General features: G+C 44.7%; 3 annotated features.

The window, feature by feature from the left end:
• Positions 1,792-2,403: an enhancer, noted in NCBI's record as "OCT4-NANOG hESC enhancer chr22:18784852-18785463 (GRCh37/hg19 assembly coordinates)". NCBI's record gives its function as "activates a minimal SCP1, AML or CMV promoter by ChIP-STARR-seq in naive and primed H9 embryonic stem cells {active_cell/tissue: H9 hESC(naive and primed)}" and the evidence as "EXISTENCE:reporter gene assay evidence [ECO:0000049][PMID:30033119]".
• Positions 7,227-7,728: an enhancer, noted in NCBI's record as "H3K4me1 hESC enhancer chr22:18790287-18790788 (GRCh37/hg19 assembly coordinates)". NCBI's record gives its function as "activates a minimal SCP1, AML or CMV promoter by ChIP-STARR-seq in naive H9 embryonic stem cells {active_cell/tissue: H9 hESC(naive)}" and the evidence as "EXISTENCE:reporter gene assay evidence [ECO:0000049][PMID:30033119]".
• Positions 7,729-8,228: an enhancer, noted in NCBI's record as "H3K4me1 hESC enhancer chr22:18790789-18791288 (GRCh37/hg19 assembly coordinates)". NCBI's record gives its function as "activates a minimal SCP1, AML or CMV promoter by ChIP-STARR-seq in naive H9 embryonic stem cells {active_cell/tissue: H9 hESC(naive)}" and the evidence as "EXISTENCE:reporter gene assay evidence [ECO:0000049][PMID:30033119]".

Genomic DNA, 12,977 nt, shown 5'->3' on the forward strand with positions numbered 1-12,977 from the left:
AAGACTCCCCCGCTGACCTCCTGCCTTCTGGCTCAGATACTGTTCTCCACGGTCACTTCTGCCTGCCTTCTCCATGTTCTTCTTAAAGTGGCATGGTGAGTTTAATTTCTCATTTCGTGCCAACTCAACATTGATTGTGCCTGAGCCACTCAGAAGGTGGGAGGGGGCACACCCCTGCCTCTTCATTTCGGCAGTGGTCACGTACTGCAGGTTGTGAAAAGCGCAGGTGAGTTATAGGTGCAGCTTTGCCACCAATTAGAGCTGGTTGTGTCATCTCAGACAACTTGCTTTTCTTCTCCAGACCTTGATCTTCTCATCTATCACATGATTTCTAAGAACGCTTTAGAGAGCACTAGCATGGGTTCCGATGCTGGCTTTGTCACTTATTAACTGTGATCTTGGATAAGCTGCTTAACCTCTCTAAGCCTCAGTTTTCTCATCGGTAAGATGGGGATAATAATGCCTGTCTCATAGGGTTATTGAGAAGATTTAGTAACATCTGTAAAGACCCTAGCACAGAGCCTAGCCCACAATCAGTCCTCAATAAAGAGCTGCTGGCTAAGACATATTTCTGCTGGAACATTCTGTGGCTCTGGATCCATAGAGGACAGGATTTGGCCAATGACTGCTTAAGGACATTTCAACGGCCCCTTGACAATGACACCATCACTGGGCTGCCCACCTCATCCCACAGCTGCAGCCCATTCTTGTGATAGCTTCCCTTTTCCCCCACAAATGGGAATGGCGGCTGCCCTGGCTATGCCTATCTGAAGTGGATCCAGCTGGTGAACAGCCGGGACAGCTCAAATACTAGTGGAGTGCAGCTCTCTGCCCAGCCCAGCAGGTGACTGTGCCTCAGTGTAAGCTAATCTAATCTGCAAGATGACAGACCTCAAAACGGCCCATACAATGAAATGCCCATGGCTTGCAAAACTTTAATTCATGCAGAACCTTTCCTCACAAACAAAATCTTACACAGCACCCCATCTTGGCTTCAGCAGAACCAGGAAAAATAAAAAATTGGCAGGGGAAGGAAATAAACAGAACAAGTGGTATCTGAATTTATTTGATATATTCTGGTTGATGGCATTAATTATGACATTTAAAGTCACCATGAGGACAACTCATTAGTAACATCAGTATGTTAAAATATGGTGCATAACATTTTTAATATATGTACAGTCATGCACTGAATAACATTTCAGTCAATGAGGAAACACATGTGCAACAGTGATCCTGTAAGATTATAATGGAGCATATATAGAGATCTAATATATGGCACTTAATGTTGGCATGGCAGATCAAGTAGGGGAAATGACTGATATTTAGTAACAGTGCTGGGACATTTGATTTTCCATAATAAAATATATAAATGAAAATATATATCCCATCTAGGTTTGTTGAAATACACCCTATGATGTTCACACAAGAATGAAATTGCCTAATGATGCATTTCTTAAAACATGTCCCCATCATTAAGTGACCCATGACTGTATACACACACACATATGGTGACACTTAAATCAAATGATTGCAGTATTCCTGAAACACAGAACATTTTGCAAACAATTTACCTACATTCATAACATTAGGCATCCTTAGAATTGCAGTGTTCTATGACAGAGCAACTACAACCAACCCCCATCCATCTCCTGCAAAGAAGGCTGGAGGCAGGTCAGGGTACACCAGCATCTTCAAGAACTGCTTCTCAATCCTGGACCTACACTGGAATCACCTGGGGAGCTTTAAAAAAAATAACAGTGCCTGGACCCCACCTGACATAACTGGTCTTAGGATTAATTAGGGTTTTTTTTGAAGCTCCACAGATGATTCAAATCAGGTGTAGCAAAGCACTGTTACTTTAAAGTGTCTCTACCTACGTGGTGCCAGCCAAGTGCTCAAATGAAATATCTTAAGGCTCTCACTGGCTTTAAGTTTCTCTCTTTGGTAGAGACCCAATCACTGGTTCAAGGAAGTTTCATTCTCCTCCAGTCTTCCCCAGTGCAAAAGAAAACAGCTGAGACCCATCAGATACTGGCTTTTGTGATGCAATAATGAGTTTAACCAGAATGCATCCGATTTACAGACCTTACAAAGGCACTAGGCCAGCGGATCATGCACGTCCTCCCCACCCAAAGGTAAACAGTGTTAAGTGGCCTGAATGAGCCAGGACAGCAGGGTCAAATCAACTTGTCTAGGCTGGAAGCAGGTTATAAACAATCTGGACAAATAAATAACTACTGGATTGCACTTTAACCACACACATTCAGCTGCACCTGTTTATTAAATACCTCCTTATTTTCCCTCTGCCCCACAAAGGGCTTCTGACCCCTGAAAATAATGCTTCTCAACATAAAAAGAATTGTTTTCTTCTTGGCAGTTTAATTCCCCTTCCACACATCCCACCCCACCATTTCCCTATAATGGTAATACCCCGCTGTGCAGACCTCTGCTGCCTCCAAAGAGACACAGGCGCCCAACCCTGACCAGGGCATCCTCTGACCCACAGCCCCTCTATCTCCCCTCTCAGCCTACAATAGAAAGTTCCTCCCAGGCAAGGATCATTTTTTTTAAATAACTTTTTTAACTTTAGACATTCTGTACTCTTTGGATTACTCTGCAATAAGCAAATATGACTTCTGTAACATAAAAAGAAAGATCAAAATGTTATATATAACTGCATGAAAAGAACTAGAAAGAAAATACTAGGTGACAGGATGGCAAGTGATTTTTATTTTTTTCTTAATATTTTACTCCTTCCCCCAGTCCTCTGCAATGAGTATGTACCAGTTTTATAACTAGAAAAAAATTTTAGCCAAAAAGAAAAATAATGCATGTTTGCTATATAAAATTCACTACTGTAGTATTTATATATATATATATATATATATATATATATATACACATACATATTTGGTCTTTGTCCCCAGTTCCTGGCACTGAGCTCCTAAACCCCTTGGAACTTCCTAAGCAATGGGAGTACCTTTTGTTATTTATAAGAAGCCCCTTTTGGCCATCCCAGAGTTTATGCTAACGAGGTGACTGAAGGTGAGCACGGAGGCAGTTTCAAGGAAGGAGCTGGCCACGCTTAGAATTGTGGAGTTTTCAGCCCCGCCCTTAGACCTCCAAGGACAAGAGGGGGACCGCAGATTGATCCAATCAGCATTGGTCAGTGATTTGATCAGTCATACCCACGTAATGAAATCCCATATGAAAACCCTAAATAATGGAGTTAGGAGAGCTTCTGGGTGCTGGAAGCGGCGTGCACCAGGAGAGGGCATGGGCAGTGAGCACTACTCCCCTCTCAGACCTTGCCCTATGCACTAAATAGGACTGACCTATGTGACCAATAGGAAATGCACAAATGGTGGAATGTGACTTCCAGGGCTAGGTCATAAAAAGACAAGCACGATGTTATGAGGACATCAAAGCAGCCATATGGGGAGGACCCCATGAGGCCTCCTGCCAGCAGCTAGCACTAACTTGGCTAGCATGTGACTGGAAGTAGATTCTCCAGCCTCAGTCAACTCAGTCAAGCCTTCAGATAATGTCAACCCCAGGCATCTTTTTGTTGTTGTTGAGACAGGGTCTCACTCTGTCACCCAGGCTGGAGTGCAGTGGTGCAATCATAGCTCACTGAAGCCTTGACCTCTGAGGCTCAAGTGACCCTCCCACATCAGCCTCCTGAGTATCTGGGACCACCAGCACACACCACCATGCCTGGATAACTTTTTTATTTCTTATAGAGATGGGATGATATGGTTGGGGTCTGTGTACCCACCTAAATCTCACGTTCAATTATAATCCCCAATGTTAGAGGTGGGGCCTGGTGGGAGGTGACTGGATCACAGGAATGGATCTTTCATGAATGATTTAGCATCACCCTTTTGGTGCTGTGCTCGTTAGAGTTCTCCCAGTATCTAATTGTTTAAAAGTGTGTGGCACCTCCCCCCTCTCTCTCTTGCTCCTGCTTTGGCCATGTAAGGCGTGCCTGCTTCCCCTTCACCTTCCACCATGATTGAAAGTTTCCTGTGCTTGCCCCAGAAGCTGAGCAGATGCCAGCATTAAGCTCCCTGAACAGCCTGTGGAACTGCGAGACAATTAAACCTCTTTTCTTTATAAATTCTCCAGTCTCATGTATTTATAGCAATGTGAGAACTGACTAATACATAGGGTCTCACTGTGTTGCCCAGGCTGGTCTCAAACTCCTGGGCTCAAGTAATCCTCCTGGCTTTGCTTCCCAGAGTGTAGAGATTACAGGCATGAGCCACTGAACCTGCCCCTTTCCCCCCAACAACATCTTGATTGCAACCTCCTAAGAGACTCCGAGTCAGAAGTATCCAGTTAAGATGTTACTGACTTTCTGAACCACAGAAACTGTGAGATAATAAACATCTATTGTTCCTTTAAGCCTTAAGTTTGGGGCTTTTTTTTTTACACCAATATATAACTAATGTAGACACCTGCAGTCCCTAAGATTGAATGCAAAATTGTGTTACATACACATGAGTGTGTTCTTCTGGGAAAAGAGTCCATAAACTTCAAAAGATTCTCAAAGGAATCCAAGACCCAAAAAGATTAAGAAACATTGCATCAGACAATAAATTGTCAATGAGCAAGGTCCTGTCCTTTTAGATTGGGTTTTGAAATCACCCATCCCACAAATATATGATACCATTTAACTAGTTTTTCAAGATATTCCTTGTTCAAAGATGCTCCCACTTTTTCTTTGTGCTCAAGTCCTAGATAAACTTGGCTAGGGGCAGGAGGTATGATTCAGGAGTTAGTGAGCCGGGAGGGCTCACTGTGCCTGGGAAAGCCAGCTTCTCATGAATTTTTGGAATATGCCTTGGCTCAGAAACCTACCTCTCTAGGCACAGGATCCAACTTATATGTTCAAGATGTGTGACTGAGCATGTGAAAGTGTCAGAGGGATCGACCTCACCATTTTACATCTACTTTTCCAGTTGTGGCCCCTACAATCATCAAGGCTCATTCGGCACCATGCTCCTCCAAATTCTGCATGCGACTCAGCCACACTAATATCTTTCTTCATCTATAAGATGAAAGTAATACAATGCACCATGTAGCAAACTCACAGGAGACCCTAGAGATCAAATAACACTGTGAAAGCCACCAAATGAATATTTTAAAATTTTATCTCATTTCTGCCAAGGTGAGATATCAATCTAAAAACAGGATAAATCTTTGTAAGTACAAGAACATTAAAAAGAACATTAAGTTTGGGTTAAAAATGCAAAACTGCATATGCAGGAAAATTACGTTAAAAAAAAAAAAAAATCCTACACCTACAAAAACAACCAAACAAAACATTGATGATACTGGGCTGATTCACTGAATGGTGAGAATATGAGTGATTTTCTCCTCTCCTATTTTTCTCAATACCTTTTCTCTATTATCTCCTTTTTTAAATAAGCAAGTATATATTGTTCTAAACCGAAGATAAATGATCATGAGCAGCACTTTCCCAGGCACTGTCCTAGTTGCTCTGCATACATCATCGCATTTAATCCTCACAACAGTGAATGGGGTCGATTTCATTACAGCCACATTTACCAGACAAGGAAATGGTTTTCAAGGTTAAGTAACCTTCTCATGACACAGAATGTGACTAAGAGTTTTCTTATTCCATGGCTCACACTAAATGTGCTCTGTGAATATCAGTGAGAAGTAATAAAGCACTGACTGGATTTTCTTGGTCACCGGGTCCTAAAAGAAATGATGGGGAATCTATGCAGTCCCAAGTTAAAAATGGGAACTGAACTGAGCTGCCACAGCATGCTGAATAGGTGGAGTCCAGGCCAACTAAGTGCTTCATGGAACTTAAAGGCTCCAGAGGGAAAGCAATCGGGAAGGCACTTCCACAGGCACATCGGTGACAACTTCTGGGGATTCTTACCTGTCAGCCTTCAGCCAAGGAAGGACAGGAAGTGGCATGGGCTAAAAGATCCTTTGTTTGACCTCTTTCCAGATCAGGTGACAGGAAAACACAACACTTGAACCTTTCCAATAAGGACAGCCAGCACTTACTGAGCCCCAGCCAGGTAACTGACACTGTTCCAAGTACTCTGCTTGTATAACCAGCTTTAACCTTGCAACAGCCCTCTGAGGTAAATACTCCTAGTGACCTCACTTTACGGATGCAGAACCTGAGGCAAGGAGTTAGGGAGTAAATGAAGCTGGCTAAAGGCACTTGCACTGGCCAGGCACAGTGGCTCATGCCTGTAATCCCAGCACTTCCAGATGGATCACTTGAGGTTAGGGGTTCGAGACCAGCCTGGCCAACATGGTGAATCCCCAGCTCTACTAAAAATACAAAAATTAGCCGGGTGTGATGGCACACGCCTGTAATCCCAGCTACTCAGGAGGCTGAGGCAGGAGAATTGCTTGAACCTGGGAGATGGAGGTTGCAGCAAGCCGAGATCACACCACTGCACTCCAGCCCACTCGGTCAATGTCACTGCCATCAAGGGACAGTCTAACCAAGGTCCAGATGGCACAAGTGGAGCCATAAAACCAGGACAGCTTGAGGTTCAGCTTCCTGAGCCCACAGGTGCAAGGACCTTATCTGGATCCATACTTTCATCAAAAATGTCCCTTGAGGCCAGGCACAGTGGCTCATGCCTATAATCCCAGCACTTTGGGAGGGCGAGGCAGGTGGATCACCTGAGGTCAGGAGTTCGAGACCAGCCTGGCCAATATGGTGAAACCCTGTCCCTACTGAAAATACAAAAATTTAGCCCAGCATGGTGATGTGCGCCTGTAATCCCAGCTACTCCGGAGGCTGAGGCAGGAGAATCGCTTGAACCCAGCAGGTGGAGGTTGCAGTGAGCCGAGATCATGTCATTGCACTGTGGGCTGGGCAACAGAGCAAGACTCTATCTAAAAAAAAAAAAAGGTACCTTCAGGATTCCTCGAGCCTGGGAGGCCAAGGCTGCCATGAACAATGATTGTGCCACTGCACTCCAGCCTGGGTGACAGAGCGAGATCTTGTCTCAAAAAAAAAAAAAAAAAAAAAAAAAAATGGCTCTTGAAACAGCCATCAACTCCCATGTGATAAATGCACTGCCACAATCCAGCAGCAAACCTAAAGTTCGGAGTGAATTCCTAAGTCTTCGCCTTCACTGACTTCCCACAGCATGGGCAGTAGCTGTGAGACCTTGGGCTGGTTACTTAACCTCTCTGCACCTCAGTTTCCTCATCTGTAAAGTGGTATAATCGTCACAGTGTTATGGAAGGATTTAATGAGTTGCTACATTTAAAACTTAATTCCTGGCACACAATAAGTGCTCAATAAATGTTTAGCCGCTAGTTGCAGTAGTAGCAATAGTAGTGATATTAACTCTAGCTGTGGAACTAATTTCTCCCACACACCGTGGCAGGTTGTATTCTCCAGACACAGCAGTAACAATATCTCCTTCCCACACGCTCTTTTGCAATGTGACCATGCCACACACTCCCATCAAGAGGTGGAGTTTAGAATAATTCCCTCCTCTGTGGATCTGGGCAGGAAGTCACTGTGTGACTTCCAGTCCTAGGTCATGAAAAGTGATGTAGCTTCCATTTCACTCAGGGTCCCCTGAACCACCACATAAGAAAGCCAACGGTCCTGAGGCCATGCTGTGAGGGGGCCCAAGGCACATGGAGAGGCCCTGGGCAGGTGCTCCAGTCCAGAGCTGGCTCCAGCCAGGTCCCCCTGCCACCAAGTGAGTGAATGAGCCAATCACCACCCAGCTCCACCTGCCACCATGTGAGTGAACAAGCCTCCCCTGTGAGCTGCCCCCAGCCTCGGAACTTCCAGCCATGCCTGCCGTGCCTGTAAATTCTCAACCCCCAGATTCTGTGAGCATAACAAAATTGTTGTTTTAAGCCACTGAGGTTGGGAAACATTTGTTACATAGAAAGGTAACAAGAACATATGCTATGGCTTCAATCAACATTTTTTTCAGTACCTATTATGATGGACACTAGGACAGAAACTGAGGGAGAGATTAATAAGACATAGTTGACAAGTTGTCCTAAGCTGACAATCCTAAAATAAATACACATAACTAATCATTTTAATGGTATACGATAGCAGTGAGGTGCAAAGTGCAAGGTTAAGCCCTTTCAGAAAGTGAAAGCATTCAAAAAGCCTTCAAAAAAGTAGTGACATCTGAATTGGGTCCCAAAGCGCAAGGGAAATATATACCACATGAAAACACCGCAGTGCATTCCAGGATTAGCAAGAAGTTTGCGGAGGTCGTTTTGTCACATGACTGGAGGGCACATCAGTGCCAGGCGGAAAAGGGCACCGAAAGGCACATTAATAAAGTCAAACACCTCCTCTGGGACAGGGGAAGTTGAGAAAGAGCCTAACAGAGGTAAGGAAGAAGATGGATCAGATTTACACTTTCGAATTATCACTCTGGTGGCAGGTGAAGGACAGAGCAGAGGGCAGGACTGGAAGCAGACAGACCAAATTCACAGTCAAATGCGACAAGATGAGGGCCTGGCCTAGTTTTAAATCCAAGGACAAAAATATCATTCATTCACTCTTTCATTCTTTCTCTTATCTGAATCCCCAGTGGTACCTAAAATAGAGCTGGTCTAAAGATGATGATTAATGAATGTTAAATTATTGATACTACTTCTAAGAAGATGTAACTGCCAGCTACAGAACCAGCCAAAAGGACTGCAAACCCAGTAATTCATTTCATCCCAACCTGACTGATCTCTCTGATGTCTGCACTGCTGTGTCACTAGACTGCCTGATTGTCCTAGGTTGAGACATTTACCTACTGAGCCCCAGGGATGGGTGGCTGCTTCTAAGCTGCTGCCTAATTCCCTCATTACTAAATGTTGACGCTGCTTCCTTAGAGGACTGCTAAACCATAACTCAAAAATGTTTTAAACATGCTACTATTTACTTAGATTAGAATATTTACTTAAATGTTTTAAAAAATACAGTATTTTAAGTCTTTTATCTCTTCTGACTACTACCACTAACCCTGCTTCCCCTCATTTTTCCAGAGATTAGCACTACTGTGATTTAAGGATAGAGCTCTCCAGACTTAAAAAAAAAACAAAAAACTGCTTTTATATCTAGATATATGTAACCACTGAAAAATATACATTATTTTTCAGCATTTTTTACATAAACATTATCATCCCTTTCATTGAGTTATGTTCCTCAGTTTTCCTCCTCAAAGTTTTTGAGATCAAATATAGTTCCCATTTTTCTTCTTTATATAGCTGCACAGTATTCCATCATAGGATTACACCACATTTTATTTATTCCAATATTAATGAATATTTAGGTTATTTATAGTTTTTTTTCTATAACCAACAAGCCCATGCCTTCTACTGCTTATCCTTTCCCCACCTGAATTTGTACAATCCCCAGCTTCTCTTATCCATGACCACTGAAACCCCAGGGAAGACCTTATCACTTTCAGGATGTCCATGGCTCTTTCACCCTATGCCATGCTTGGAACCAGGAAAGCCCAAAAGACCCCACTTCCTGCCCTTCTATTCTGCTCCTCCTCTCCTATCGCTCATTTCTTTGCCTCTATCCTCCACTCCTCCCAGCAAAGGTAGGGATAGCACCTGAGTCCTGCCACCCTCTCACCTGCATTCCCCCTCACTCTCATGCGAAGGACAGCACAGAAGCAGCATCAAAAAAGAAAGGCAGCGAGGGAGCCCTGCAGCCTGCCCTAGGCCAGCCATGCCCACAGCCACAGGAATAGACACTGTTTTCAGCCCCACCTAGATTCAAGGCAGCATCTAATAGAAATGCTTATAAGTAAATATAAGTGCCAGTATTTGCCTTCTATTTTCTAGAGGGGAAAAAAATTAAAAGGCAAGATCAGATTACTTGCCTGGAAATGTTCTCCCTGTAATTACTCTGACCGCTCTTTCTTTCCCTCCGGTTTTGGAGATAATGGAAATAGGCTGAGTGTTGGGCATTTTTTTTTTTAAAGAGGGCAGCTTCATGGCAACACTCCCTCTGAGAAGTCCAGAGGCTCAGTGAACCGCAGCTTAGAGTGAGTTCCAGTAAAAGGACCATCACTTGAACCAGTAAGTGCCTCATTCCTTCTCACAGCATACATTTCACAGCAATTACTGTTGCTATTATTTTACGCTTCATTTCTGGACCTAGGATACCTCAGTTTCTCCAGACTCTCAGTCTGGTCCCCAGGTTTTCAGTCTGAGAGAAAGGTGTCTGCTGGATTTCAAACAGTCCCTCTACTGGCCGCCACCACCACCCTCTCCTAAAGAGGACTGGAATAACTCTTCCACAGCTCCCGCCACACTCAGCACTGCCTGCACCTCCTCCTGGAGCTGGCAGGGCCCCAGCTGTGCACCCCTCAATGCTCTCACAGCTTCAGGAAGAGGACTGCTAAGCCCAGGGCCCTGCTGACAACATGCCGGGAGCGCATCTGCAGGCAGGGTCAGAATGTCAGCTACCAGGCAGCAGAGAGATGCGGGGCACCAACAGCAAAAGCACTTGGGGGGCTTTTTCAAGTGGCATCAGAACTAGACCTGGATACAAAGGGGTGGCCCTGGCTTCAGGAAGCCCATGATAAGTCAGTCTGCTGTGTCCTTCAACACAGTGTCCCCACCTTCTGTCTCCCAACACTAGGCCATGGAGACACAAAACTAGAAAATGGGGCTGCCTAGCTACGAATGCCCAGGCTGTGAATTGGGGTCTCCAAAGGAACCTCAGAGCCGTGTCCTACTCAGAGCAGCTCCTTCAGCTCTTCACCCTGGAAAGCACTCCGGTACAAAACAGGAATATTCCTCTTCTCCTGACTCTGCCCAAGGCACTGCTGTGACCCTCTCAGCAGTGGAAGCACTAGCCAATGTGCCATCCTCTTGGACGATAGCTGGATAATCGCAATAAGCAGAGCTCCAACAACTAGCTCTAGTGTGTGGGGAGAAGTGGGGAGGATGGAGAAAGGATACAAAAAGACACTGTGGGATTTCAGGGCAACCCATGAGTGAGGATCACAGCAGAGCTATGCCTTGCAAGGACCAGAACTGGAAAACCTTTGTGACTTAGACCACCCTCCTCAGGACAGCTCCCGCCACTCTTCAGGGACAAAGTTCCTTTACTCAGCCATAGTTTCTGTGCTCCAAATACTCAGCTTACACATGCCTGTTGCTGCTGCACTCACCACTGTGGTTCTCAGTGCAAATTCCCCAGAAAGCAGTCTGACTGGCTGGGAGACCTTTTTTTTTTTAACCAGGCCCCCAAAGTTGTAGATTTTGGGGTCATTTACAATATGCATTTCCCCAACACACTCAGATCTAGGTGGACTTGACCAGATGGGCATCTGTATTCCATTACCCAGCATATAACCACTTTGGGCAACAGGGAATGTGAAGGGCCCCAAACCGTTCCCCACCAAGAGTGTGGGTGGCAGGCACCCTGAAATATGTCTAGCACACTCATAAAGCATGAACATCTACACACAACTAAAAATAAATAGTGAGAGCCCTGACACTGCTTCTGGGGGTTTTCCCAAGCACCTGTTACGAATGATAACAATGGATGGCCGCTCCTTCTCCCTCAGCTTTGACTTTCATTGCTGGTGGCTCAGGCTCCTGTGCTTGGCTGTCATCGGTGGGTAGCCCTGGATTGGACATTTTCCCTATTCAATTCAAGGACCATGTTCTTGAGCATAACTATGACCAGGCAGTAGGCAGTGGGCCCTGCTCTTTCTTTCCAGGGAGGCACAGATAAGCCAGCATCACAGATGCAAAAAACAGAACCGTGGAGGTAGAGACTAATTCTTCAGCAGCCCAGAGAAGAGAACTGGGAAACAGGGCCCTCGCAGATACACAAGACCAAGCTGGAGAGTTCAGGGACTTCCAAAAGAAGGTACAAGAATGAGCACTATACCATAGTGGGGTGGGTCACAAAAGCAGGAAAAGGTCCCCAAACAAAGAATCCATCAGTCAGTTACAGCACTCTCCCCATGTGGTGAAACAGTACGCAACCATTTAAAAACTGCAGAGAACAATATTTATGAACACCTAAAAATGCTGAAAGCACACTACTAAGTAAAAGGGGAGAAAGGCTATAAAAGGATTTGAAAGTATTTTCGTAAAGATAAACACCCACACACACCCACACACCTCTATATATGTGTGGAAAAAGGACTGGGCTAGTATATTTAAAAAACGCTAAAGGGAGGTCGGGTAATAAGGGATTGTTTTTTCCTTGCACTTTGTGTTTTCTAAGTATTCTATAGTCTGAATGAATTAGATTCATAATTAGGACCAACAGTCATAAGCAATTTCTCAGACCACCTGCCTCATAAAACCCAAAAAAAGAAGTCAGAGAGGGGTGAATATTTTGGTACAGATGAATTCAGGTTGTGTAAGTGGAGAGGAGGGAGGTGGCCAAGGAGCCTGAAGTGGGGGAGGGGGGCTGATGGTGAAATAGGGAATGGGTGGAGAGAGAAAATGATTGCAAAATTGGCTGGAGCCAGCCTGGTCAGGTCAACTTTGCAGGTGTGTGAAGTGTCAAATGGTTAATCAGTTGCCCTCTGTTTGAGCTGCTTAATGCACAAGGGCCTGGTTGAACAGGTTTGACCTCATTTACTTTTTCTTAAAGCTGTTTAGCCACTTTCCTAAAAACTCCTATTTTCTGAGTTATTAAACTTTCCATTCCATGTTGATCCCTTCCGAGCCCTCTAACGCATCTCTTCTCTTGCTTCTTCCAACTGGATGCCTTCATGAGGCATTAACAGATACTGTGAGCCCTGATGAAAATCATCCTTTCAGGGTACAAGGAAGGCACCTGAATGACAGATGGTTGGAGGAATCTTGAGAAAGCAGTTTAGGCATTAACATGCAGGCTGTCGCTGACTTACACAGAGCCAAGGACGTGACATACAGCATGGGGCCATTTCTAAATCCCCACTGAGGACAAGGGTCCTGGAGGGAATGGGATTTGGAACAAGATT

Source organism: Homo sapiens, chromosome 22 (assembly GCF_000001405.40).
Source record: "Homo sapiens chromosome 22, GRCh38.p14 Primary Assembly".
Taxonomy (NCBI): Eukaryota; Metazoa; Chordata; class Mammalia; order Primates; family Hominidae; genus Homo; species Homo sapiens.